Source organism: Homo sapiens, chromosome 5 (genome assembly GCF_000001405.40).
Source record: "Homo sapiens chromosome 5, GRCh38.p14 Primary Assembly".
Classification (NCBI taxonomy): Eukaryota; Metazoa; Chordata; class Mammalia; order Primates; family Hominidae; genus Homo; species Homo sapiens.
Window position 1 is genome coordinate 124,403,030 of NC_000005.10, and position 12,272 is coordinate 124,415,301.

Sequence of the window (12,272 nt, forward strand, 5' to 3'; positions counted from 1 at the left end):
TCTTTGGAAAAACAAACAAAGAGAATGGATAAAACTGAAAGAAAATGGAAAACATCCCTTCACTATTCTGGTGGGATTGACCCCATCCCCAACTCCAAAGATGGGCCCTAATTTGTTTATCCAAATAATACACATACACACACACACACACACACACACACACACACACACACACACACACACAGCCCACCTTCTGTGGAGGCCTCAGTCGCTATGACAAGATCCAGTGTTGTTTTCTCCATAGTAATGATGACTTTCCTTGTTTTTTGGTTTGTTTGTTTACTAGAAAAATTAATTCCCTGGAACTGAGGACTTTGGTGTCTTTTTCACTCCTATGCCCAGCACCTAGCACAATGGCACAGCATCTGACACATAGTAAATAATCAATATTGCTATTGCAGTAGCTTCCTAACTGGTCAAATTACTTCTGATCCCGCCCCGCCCTCTCAGTGCAGCCCCACCCTCTGCACCTCTGTACCTGTGCAGCAGCTTCCTCTGGCCAGCATGGTGTCCACAGCCCAGAACCTGGCACTAGGAGATTCCTGGAGAAAGTGAGCCTTCTTGTCTGACTGTCCAGAGAGTGAGAGAAAGTGTGGCAAGTATTTTTGTATATAAGCTTCCTAAAAATAACTTGTTATAGAGCCACATGAATACCTGCTTACGAAGCATTTTATCAGCCTCACGAAACATGTGAAAAGGAATTACATAAAATTAGTAAGACAGATCTGAAAAATGTTTTCATTTAAAGTAAAATTCAAGATTTGTTATCTGATAATATTTTGTGATGATTATATATATCTAAAGAAAGATAAATTTCTTTTTGAAACTTATTCTCCCTTTTCTTTCCTCAATAACGTTTAATTTTTTATGTAAGAAGTCCAACATACTTAGAAGTATACACAGAGAATGACTTAATAAAAACTTACATAGCTGCAACTTAGATTTGACAAATATCAATACATTTCTAAACATCTTTATTTAAAAATAAAATTGGATATTTTCACATAATTGAAGTTCATAAAAAGATTTGAGCCACAAAAAAAGAGTTTGAATATTACTGTAACATAAAAGTTTGAAAGATTTTTGTTGAATGATTTTAAATGTTACTGAATCAAATTGATGCAGGTTCTTTGGAAATAAAATAAATTTAGGCAAAATTACTTCATCACAAATACCTGAGTGTTTTAATTTTTGTGTGAATAATATTAAAATGTGACTGAGGTTAATATGCAGCTAGAAATCATACATCTAGGAGATGGATCTGAGGTTCACCTATCTTTTTATAGTGAATTTTGAAATATAGGCAAGCACAGCATAATGATGGTTCCATCAATGACAAAGGGCATATATAGTGGTAATCCTGTAAGACTAGAATACTGTATTTTTACTGTACCTTTTTAATGCTCAGATATGTTTAGATATGTAAATACTTACCATTGGGTTACAATTGTTTACAGTATCCAGTATAGTAACATGCTATACAGGTTTGTAGCCTAGGAGCAGTACCATATTGCTTAGGTGAATAGTGGGTTATACCACCTAGGTTTGTGTAAATACATTCTATTATGTTCACACAATGATGATACTGCCTAATCACACATTTCTCAGGACGTATCTCTGGCATTAAGCAATGCATGACTGTAAAAGGAAATTATGCCTTTTTTTCTCCAAATAGTAATTCTCTTCTAGAACACTATTCCTCCTACTTATGTGTTCTAGTATGTGGGTTGGTATGCCTTGTATGATGTACAACAGGTCTTTCCTAGTTAGGAGAGATATTTAAACAAAGGTAGAAAGAGAATTTTTAAAAAGAATGGAGAAAATTAAAGACCACTTCTTTCTTAATTGAAGGACTATGGTTGTAAAAACTTTTGATCATTTCCCTTCTCTACCCTTGTAAATACATGTGTAATCAAGTACTGACCTTTTGGTACTGGAAACAGGAAACACCTGATGTACAAGGTTATCTTTCCTGTAGAACATGTTGTCAGACGCACAGCTGAATTAAGGGTGGATCAGGCAGGCTGCTGCTTGGGAAACTGTTCTGTAAGAGGGGCTAAGAGAATCGTGGAAATGTCACAAGATGGAGGAACTTGTATATGCCACGTTTCTTCTTAGGGAAAAGGATGGGATACTAAGATGGGGCTAAGACCCGAGAAGGCGATATTTGCATCTGACTTCCAAGAAGAGCAAGCCAGAGGCACAGCCTCTGTGGGCACAGCCGTGCTGAGTGGAATATCCACACCTGGTAGAGCCAAATAGCCTAAGACATGAAAGGGGACACCGAGGGACCCAGAAGTTCCCACTGCACATTGCTCCCACACAGAGCTCAGACTCTCTTCGATATAAATGTACAAATATTGAAAGAATATGGTTTTAAAATAAAATTATCAACCTGCCAGGATGCCCCCAGTCCCCATCTAGGCCTGGTCACAAATCATTCTGACAGCAAAGCTGTGTTCCTCTGCCATCTATCCATGGAAATGGTTGAGTTCTTTAGGGAACTTCACTCTCATGGTCCTATTGTACTGGGACATTGGGCGAATGTTCCACTCTTTATAGATAAAAATTGTAACTGAATGCTTTTCAACGTGTGGACTGGCTGTTAGTAAAGAAGAAAACACTCTTAATTCAGCTACTTCCTTTCCTATATCAACATCTCATTCATTCTGTTTCTCTCTCACAGTGAGGTTGGTCTCAACAACCCTGATGGTGTTTATCAAATTCCTGGGTCTGAAGGGACTTGCCCCAACCCTTATAAACTTTCCCCACCAGGAAAGAAGGAAATACACACAGTTGACTTTGAGGGTTCTTTTTGAGAATTATTTTTTATTATCGCCTATTCAAAAAATTTACCATCAAACCATGTGTTTCAGATAAAGACTAATAATTACTAAACAAGATTATTGTCTGAGAAACCATGACTTATGTGAATTGCTTGTTGTCTTGTTACAATTCTACAACTATATGAGAGCCTCTCTCTGTCATTATTTGCATATGATAATTCCAGAGTTGGACCTAACCCAAGCACAGTGAAAAATCAGCTGTTTCTGACTCTGTTTCCTCATTTGTGATTTAGAATTAATGATAACAAATAGAATTATGTTAAAGGTTGAATAAGATACCATGAAGGTTCTTGTATGCTATAAATTGTTGGTTATGAGTTGGCCCATTGATGGTAAGATTTGTATGTTTTTTCCCATATTAAGTAAGTAATATTACTAATTCTGAAGAAGGTGCTTTGCAAAGTCCTGTTCACTGTAAGGATCTGATTTTGTTGCTACAAACCCTAGGTTGCTTGTTTGGGGTTAGGACCATTATAAAAGAAAATAGGTGTAGACTGTTGGAATCCAGAGTATGATGTATGACAGGGGTGCAAGATTAGAAGTTAGCCCTTGATATTATTTCTATTCCAGTGGCAGGTGGGGTGAGGATTTTTTACTGAAAATTGAAATTCAGCTGCAGCATTGGCTCATGTCATCTTTGCTGTCATTATGTCCCAGAATAGCATCACTTCAGTCAGCTTTACCAAATTAAATCAAGTATCACGGGGTTACAAGCTAAGAAACAACAATGGGTTAAATTTTTAGATTGTCTTTTTGGTTTTTAAGGAAAACATACAAGGTTCCACAATAAAATCATGTTATTAAAAGGATTGCTCTGATAGGATCAAACATATTAAAATCACATATTTCGTAATGTCATTATGTTTGGTCTTTAATCTATCCTAATGAGCTCACTGGGTCTAACAGTTCAGCTTGTTGAGATTTGTGAATTAGAGCTAAGCTTTTACTGACCCTAATTTTTTAGGTTAATAGTAGTTTTTATGAGAGGTGATCACCTGATACATTGTGGGGATAAACGAATCCACTCATTTGGGACTCTGCCATCTGACACCAGTAACTCTTTACAAGAGTTAATTTTTACTCAGATTTTTCTCCAAAATGATATATTAGCCATAGCTTTAACACTGTGTATATCTAATATGCAAGTACATACAATTTTAATGTATATATTAACTATGAAAATATATTTTCTTTCTGCCTTAGAAATAAGCACCTTTTTCTTTGCAATAGTCACCAAAATGCTCATTATCCCAATAGATTTCTTTTGATTAGGCTGAGTGTATGCATTAATTAACCTCACCTGGATTATTTTATTTAAAAAAAATTAAAAATACTAAAGCACATTTCATTCCAACATTCCCAATGTTGAAAGTCTTCTGACTTTCATGAAACCTCTTCAGAGTGAATGAAAAGAGGTGAAGATGCTCATTAGCCTGTAATTCCTGAATGTGACTGTGTCCTAAATTCTTCAAGATGCCATAAGCAGAATGTTTGTACATCAAATACATGTTTTTATCATTATTTCTCTTTTAATAAGCGCAACATTATACTCTATAGAATGGAAACTATTTATTTAAATACAGATTTTATAAAGGGTTTTCTATGATGTTCAACCTGTCAGTATTTTATCAGGCTACAAAACTTAATTTGGATTATTCAGCCTTAAAAAGGAAGGAAATTCTTACATATGCTACAATATGGAAGAAGTTGTCATAAAGGTTGACAACTTTATGCTAAGAAAAATGACCAGTCACAAAAAGACAAATATTGCATGATTCCACTTATAAAAGGTACTTAAAGTAGTCTAAACCATAGAGACAGAAAATAGAATTGTGGTTGTCAGGGTCTGGGGGGTGGGGTAAATAGGGAGTTATTGCTTAATGGGTATGGAATTTCAGATTTACAAAATGAAAAGCATTATGGAGATTGATGATGTTGATGGTTACATAACATGTGAACATATTTAATACCACCGAACTACACAATTAAAAATAGTGAAGATGGCAAATTTTATGTTATGTGTATTTTACCACAATCATAATAATAATAATTTTTAAATAAAACTTAATTTTGTCTTGCTTTACTAAATACTATCCTCCTTCTAATTATTTTTGCCTCTGGCACCATGATCCAATAAGCCAAACATGAGTATCAAACAACAAACTGTTAAGAATTTATTACCACCTACCATGCACAAGGTATTTAAGGAATATTAGGAAATATAAAGCAATTTCTTCATAAAAGCCTGCAGAATTCTTTATAAGTTTTCACCTATCAAAAAATAAACACTTATGGAGTTTAAAAAATGGTGAACTCAAAGAGACATGAAGATTTCAGATGCTTGCAGAGTTTCTAGGCTCTAAGTAATTAGGTTTATTTCCATGTCTTCTCTCGGAAAGATGGGTACCAAGTCCACAGGAAGAAGTAAGTTCTTGGATAGATCCAGTGCAAGGTCAGTTTGCCTTAGCAGAGCACCAGAGTTCAGCAAAAGAATGAACATGTTCTAATGTCAAGGTAAGTAGTCCTGGGGGTGAGACCAGGTGAGAAGATGGTGACAGGGCTGGCAAAACTTGATGGGAAATGGGCATCTAAAAATTATAAGGTACTACACTTTCACTGCAAACCTGACCTCAGATTGTTTCAATTTTATATCTCACGTTGCTGCCTCTAAAATGTATCCTTAATCATCTTAACAGTCATTGGCATGGCATTACTTTTCAACGTGGTATCATTAAATCAGGAATAGTAGTCTAAGGAGAGGAGCTAACACCTCCCAGGTGACCGGCCAGTGTCCTGCCCTCCATGCCATGAGGTGTAGGGAGGCAGAGTATAGAATCCTGACAGGAGCAGTGGGTTTACTTACTAAGGGTTTGGTGAAGCAGAAGAAGGGAGTGATAAAGATTAGGCCACGATGACCTACTTTTAACACCAGCCACTAAGGCGCCTCAGTTGATTGTGAGCACTACACAGTAGAATGCTTTAGAACAAAGAGTGCGTAACGTGAATCTTGCACACAGAGAGGCGTTTGAAGCTTAAAAAATACCCAAATATACAATGGCCTCTTGTTTAATTATAGTAATTATTCATCAGACTCCAGATGTTAGGAAAGAAAAAAACTTTATCTTTTTTGATTAGAAGCGTGAATCCTTTCAAATGTGTGTGTCACTGAAATGGAATGTATCTAATCATCAACTTGCAGCTGAAAGAGTGCCGAGTAAATAACTGAAGCCAATCCAGATACTTATTAAAAGAATTTGTTTCCAAAGGGAAAGAGAAATACCTTCCATTTGAAAGAAATCAACCCTACAAAAAAGTCAAAAGTACTTGGGGCATTCTGGCAGCATCAGGACTTATTTTAAAATGTTCAATCAAATTCTTGTCCAAAATCCATTCATCGCTATGCCCTTATTGTGAGGCTGCTGCATTCTTTCAAAAGTGATTGAGAGGCCCAGAAATCAAGGTCTCACTAGTTATGCATCACTGAATCAGGGGAGAATGTAAGGCAGCCTCCCAGAAGACCAGGCCTGGAAATTCGTATCTGACGTCCAGTTCCTTAGGCTCCACCAAACTCCATGAAATTAAAGAGAAGGCAACAAACTTCTCTTTCTGATGGGGTCCCAAACACATAATTGGACAATAATTACTGAGGAGTGGTAGCCAGCCTCTAAAGCAGCCCCCAGTGGTCTTCACCTCTTTATATTCATGCCCTTATGTAGTTTTTTTCCACTTTGAATATAGATGACCATGTGAGCAAGTGTATCACTTAGAAATGACAGTGTGTGTCTTCCTAGGCCAAGTCATAAAAGGCATTACCACTTCTAGCTTGCTCTCTGTCTCTCTTTCTCTTTCCCTCTCTTTCTTTCTGTCTCCTCCTCTCTCTCTCAGATCACTCACTTTGGGAGAAGCCAACCACCATGCCAGTAGATACTCGAGATGCCCAACAAAAGTGACCACATGGTGAGAAACTAAGGCCCCTTACCCATAACCAGCACTAATTCGCCATGTAAGTCACCTTGGAATTGGATCCTCCAGCCTTGGTCTAGTCCTCAGATGACTGCAACCACACACAGCTACCACGTTGACTGCAATCTCAAAAAAAGACCCTGAGCCAGAATCACCATCTAAGCCCCTCCCATATTCCAGCCCCACAGAGTTATGTGAGATAATAAATGTTTATTATTTTGAACCACTAAGATTTGGGTTAATTTGTTACATAGTCATAGATAAATATTGCTAAGGGTAATCTTAAACTGCCTGACTGGATCCTTTCACCTTGAGGCCTCTCCATAAATAAAGCCATGCATTTCATTTCAGGCCCAAATAATAATTACATGGTGTGTGTGTGTGTGTGTGTGTGTGTGTGTGTGTGTGTGTGTGTGTGTGTTGGGGGAATCCACCTCTTCTACCCTATGATGCAGAATACAGCTCAGGGATACCAAAACATACTATGCTTACTCATTTCATGGACACTCACATTAGGATATATGCTTCAAGAACTTTTTCTATCTGCATTTAAAAAAAGAGAAAATAGTAGCTTCACAAATTATTGAACTTAATTTATATATTTAAATCACCACCATATTCAAGGTAATATGCCAAATGCAGGAGATATTCATAGATCTAAGAGTGTGCATAGACCCTGCACTCAAAGAACCTACTCTAGGGGGAAATGCAAGTATACATGCATCTGTAAAATAAAAATTCCACTAAAATATACAGTAAATTTGTATAGTGATAATCAGGGATAAGCTAGAAGTTATTATTTGAAATTTGGTTCAGTAATAGGTAGGGCTTCAAATGGGCAAAAGAGGAAGTGAGAAGCCATTTCAGAAGGAGGGTGCAGCATGAACCCAGGCAGCCTCAGAACCAGTGGGGAAGAAACCTCAGAATGTACTAGAAATACACCAAGGTTTTGCATATTGCAGCCAGGGATTTACATTTAGTTAAGTAGCCAGCAAGAGATATTGAAGTGTTGTGCAAACTGGGATGACCATATCAAAACTGCACTTCAGGAAAAATAATTGAATATATAGAGAACATATTAGAAGAGGGAAAGGCTAAACGCTGTACCGTGAGAAGGCTGTGGTCATGGTCTAGACAGGAGGAACAGAAGTAGGAATTACAGAGCAGACAGCGAGAATAGAAAGAAGGAGTATATGTGAGAGGCAGAAATTATGGAGTCTGTAGGTTCTGCCACTAACAGGATGAAGCTAAAGTAGGGAAAAGTGGGAGAGGTTGGAGCAGACAAAGAAGACACAGGTGTTTCAGGCTAGGAGATGAACAGAATTAACAGAATTAGGGATGGACAGAAACAGTGTCTGTACTAAGACTGGAGAACAAGGAGGTGGAAATTCAAATATAAATACATATTAGAACTCTCCAGCCTTCTGCTATATCATCCTCAGACTGCAGGTGGGTGTCTTTTGCAAGTACAAATACTTTCATTTGCATTGGAAACTGGCAGCTGGACTTGCAAATAACATATAAAACCATTCTGTATACCAATGCAAATATTCTTTGCATCAGCAGATAGAAATATTGAAAAGCTCCAAATTAGACATCACAACAAAAAAGCCTTTGTGGTTTTTGGCAAATAAGCTTTTTAAACAAAATCTGACCCCATCCCATCTTGAAATATGTCTTTTAAAAAACTCTTTGTCTTGCCATACTTTTATAAAATGGCTGAAAAATACCATCACCTAACTCAGTTTTCTCAACTTCTCAAATTCTTCCTGGCAGTTCAACTACGGAAAAATCAAAACCTGTCTTGCTCACTGGCAATCAGCTAATTCTGTGAAGTAGCATTCTCCATCTGATTTAAACGCAGTTGCCCTTGTGTATTCTGAGCTTGTTCTATATACTTAGCTTGAAAAATTGTCCAGATCTCAAAGATAGAGCTCTTCTAATCTACCAATGCCAAGGCTTCTATGCAAAGCTAGGGTATAAATTCAGATCTTCAAATTAAGCTGTTGGATTTATTTTTTTTCTATGCATATACATGAAGCAAATATTTACTAAATACAAGTTTATTTGCAAATTAGAACTGCTCCTGGCTAAGGTGCCATAATCAGCAGAGGAATATAAAAATAATAATAACGGCAACAACTTACCAGGGCCTTAGTAGCACCATTTTAAGCACTTTAGATATATTAACTCACTTAATTCTCATAATACTACAAGGAATTTTCTTTAAAGAGACAAGGTCTCATTCTATTGCTTAGACTGGAGTGCAGTGGTGCGATTATATCTCACTGCAGCCTTGAACTCCTGAGCCCAAGTGATCCTCCTGCCTCAGCCTCCCAAGTAGCATGTGCCACCATGCCCAGCTAATTCTCACAATAACGCTACAAAGGGGTTCAGTCAACATCTCAAGAGCCAAAGATTGAACTCGGGCATCCTCAGAGCCTGGGCTCCTAACCATTGGGCCTAAAAAGAGGAATTTTCTGTGGGTGTTTTTGGTCACCCACTGTATTAGTTTTTTATTGCTGCTATAACAAACTACCACAAATTTAGCAGCTTAAAATGATACAAGGTTGTATTTTTCTAACTCTTCTTCCATAGGCATATATCCCTCTGACTCTGACTTCTTCTGCCTTGTTCTTCTACTTTTAAGAATGCCTGTGATTAAATTAGGCCCACCAGGAAAACCCAGGGTTAGCCGCCTTAATTCTTCTTTTCTCTGTAACCCAACATATTCACATTTTCTAGTAATTAGAATGTAGGAATCTTTGGGGGCCATTAGTCTCTCCACCACACCCACTGATTCTCTAGGTAAAAAGAATCTGAAAGTGCAAGCAGATTTAAAGTACTAGAAATCAGAATAATAAATAAGGAAAGAAAGGTGAGTAGGGGGCGGCAAGAACAAAATGTTTACAGGACAGTATCCTATGCAGGTGTATTAGTTCGTTTTCACGCTGCTGATAAAGACATACCTGAAACTGGCAAGAAAAAGAGGTTTAATTGGACTTACATTTCCACATGGCTGGGGAGGCCTCAGAATCATGGTGGGAGGCGAAAGGCACTTCTTACATGGCAGCAGCAAGAGAAAAATGAGAAAGAAGCAAAAGCGGAAACCCCTGATAAACCCATCAGATCTCGTGAGACTTATTCACTGGCCCCATGATTCAATTACCTTCCCCTGGGTCCCTCCCACAACAGTAGGTGAGTAGAAAATGAGAAACTGAGGTCTACTTCCTGATCCTTGACATTTGCCCATTGCCCCTCCAACTTCATTGTTCTTTCACTGACAGTCAATATAACAAAATTCTAGTATCTTCATATCATCTTCTAAGCAGCTCTACTAGGAAAAATCAAAACTTGTCTTAGTTTTATGACCTTACCGGTCTTCATAATCATTATTTTGCTAACTTGAATGTAGTTTACTTATACCCTTACAGTGCATGTTCTCTATCCCATCCCAGCCAGGGAGGCACTCACAGGCTCTCATTGCCTGGTGGTGAACCACTAGTACAGAAGTGTGAATAGGGCATGATGGCAGCATGTGGGTGTGCCCCACACTTAGCCGGGGAGACAGCTGTGGCATCTGGGGATAGAGAGTCAAGGTCTTCCAAACGAAGAGGGAAGGAAACAGTAGACCAGGAAGAGAAAGTAGTGACTCCAGGACCGAGAGGTGGAAATGAGCATGGGCTGGTTTCTCTAAACACTCTTGTCCAATAGGCTGGAGCATGGAGAAGAAGGCAGGGAGAGGTAAAAAGTCAGGCAGGAGAGGCCAGCAGCGTCAGATCCCACAAGGTCTCGGGGTCATGTAAGAAGCCTAGGATGTAACATGTAAGTAACAGGGAAGCACTGGGGGGTGCTAAGCAGGAGCCAGAATCCATCTACTGCTGACCAGCTGTGAACCTGCATGTCACCTTTCTGTATCGTCAAATGGAGATAGCAGCACTGACTCCATAGGGTAGTGGGGATGATTAAATAAGAGCTAACCACCTAGCATAGTGGGAAATGCATGGTCAGTTCTGGAAAAATGTTCAGATAGAAAAGATAAATGTAACCAAAATGTAAGCTGGAGGCTCCACCCTAGAGAGCTAAGGTGGAATTACCTTAATGCTCCAAAGTCTATTTTCTGGAGTCCAGAGTCCTCTGAGGCTTCTGCAAACTGCCAGGACAGATGGGTCTTGAGACCTCTCCTGACTGCAGGACGTCTGCCTCCTAGGGCTACTGTGTGTTCTGCACTGTCATCCAGCTGAGATCCTCAGGCTCCCTCTCACGAAAACTTAGTGAGCTTCTCAAAGGTGGGGTGGGTGCGAGGCACATGGAGGAGTGATAGATCTGAACAGCCGGAAGGACTCCAAGGGGAACCAGGGCATGCGAGTTTTTTTAGTACCCTCAGGCCACTACCACCGAGCTTTCCATTGACACTGCTCTCATTAGTGTTGGCCTCTCCTGCTCTATCTGAGAGCTCCTCTCCCCCTTTCTTTCTCATCTTCACTCATCAACCCTCCTCCCATTAAGATGTGAAAAAAATTAATTATTCCCTTTGTGTTATGCAGGTCATCTTCTCCTTTCCTCTAACATCTTAGTACAGGCTTATCGATGTGTTTCCTAAATGCTGTGAAGAAAAATTCTAGCACCCGCTGTGAAGGTAGTTAAATGTCTTTACCATCCAGGCACAGAAGTACAGGACAGGTTTGGCTGAACTTGAGAAATGAGACTGACTTTGTTGGCCAAGAAGTGACAGATCTCACTGATATTGGAGGATTTAACATTCCTCTCCTAACAACTCTGCCCAGGAAAGGAGCCAGAAGCCACCTGAGAGAAAAGGGACTGAAATGTGTCCCCTCTGCCATGTAAATAAAGAGGGACTCTACCTGGAATTAGCCCAACTGCAACAGTTAGATGATGCAGTCTCCATCCAAGATAGCTCTCCCTTATGGCACCACCTGCCAGTTCACTTTGCTTTCCCCAGATGACTCTCAGTTCCAACAATTCACTAGAAGGACACAAGAACTCACTGAAAACTGTTATGCTTATGGTTACACTTCATGACAGGGAAAGGATACAGGTCAAAATCAGCCCAGGAAAGAGACATAGAGGGCAGAGACTGGGAGGGTCACAAACACAAAGCTTCTGTTGTCCCCTCTTTGTGGAATTAGGACATCAATGTGTAGCAATGACCATAAAGTATTGCCAACGACAACAACAAAAGACCAAGAAAAGTTCACCCAAGCTGTGATACCCACACCAACCAATACCACATGACTCAAAGCCTCCACCATCAATCACATGGCTGGTCTTTCTGGAATGGCCAGCTCTATCCAGTGTTGACTGGGTGAGGCCGGCCCCACCTTGAGTTCTGGTATGGTCAGCTCTTACCCTAAACAAAGACACTTCTGTCAGGTGTGCCAGAAATTGCCTCCTAGAAACTGAGGGCAAAAGCAAAACCTCTTTTTGGACAAGGCCAAATTC

General features: G+C 39.3%; 2 long non-coding RNA genes across 2 annotated transcripts in view, besides 1 other annotated feature; one reads left to right on the forward strand and one right to left on the reverse strand.

The window, feature by feature from the left end:
• Positions 1–12,272, reverse strand: part of LINC01170 (long intergenic non-protein coding RNA 1170) — a 378,727-nt gene that overhangs the window by 343,236 nt on the left and 23,219 nt on the right. The window lies entirely within an intron of this gene.
• LOC105379155 (uncharacterized) lies at positions 481–7,032 on the forward strand. Its single transcript, XR_001742872.2, has 3 exons — positions 481–551; positions 5,246–5,360; positions 6,732–7,032. It is a non-coding gene; the product is annotated as an uncharacterized LOC105379155 (long non-coding RNA).
• Positions 7,744–7,813: a silencer, noted in NCBI's record as "silent region_16277". NCBI's record gives its function as "represses an Ori minimal core promoter by ATAC-STARR-seq in GM12878 lymphoblastoid cells {active_cell/tissue: GM12878}" and the evidence as "EXISTENCE:reporter gene assay evidence [ECO:0000049][PMID:35858748]".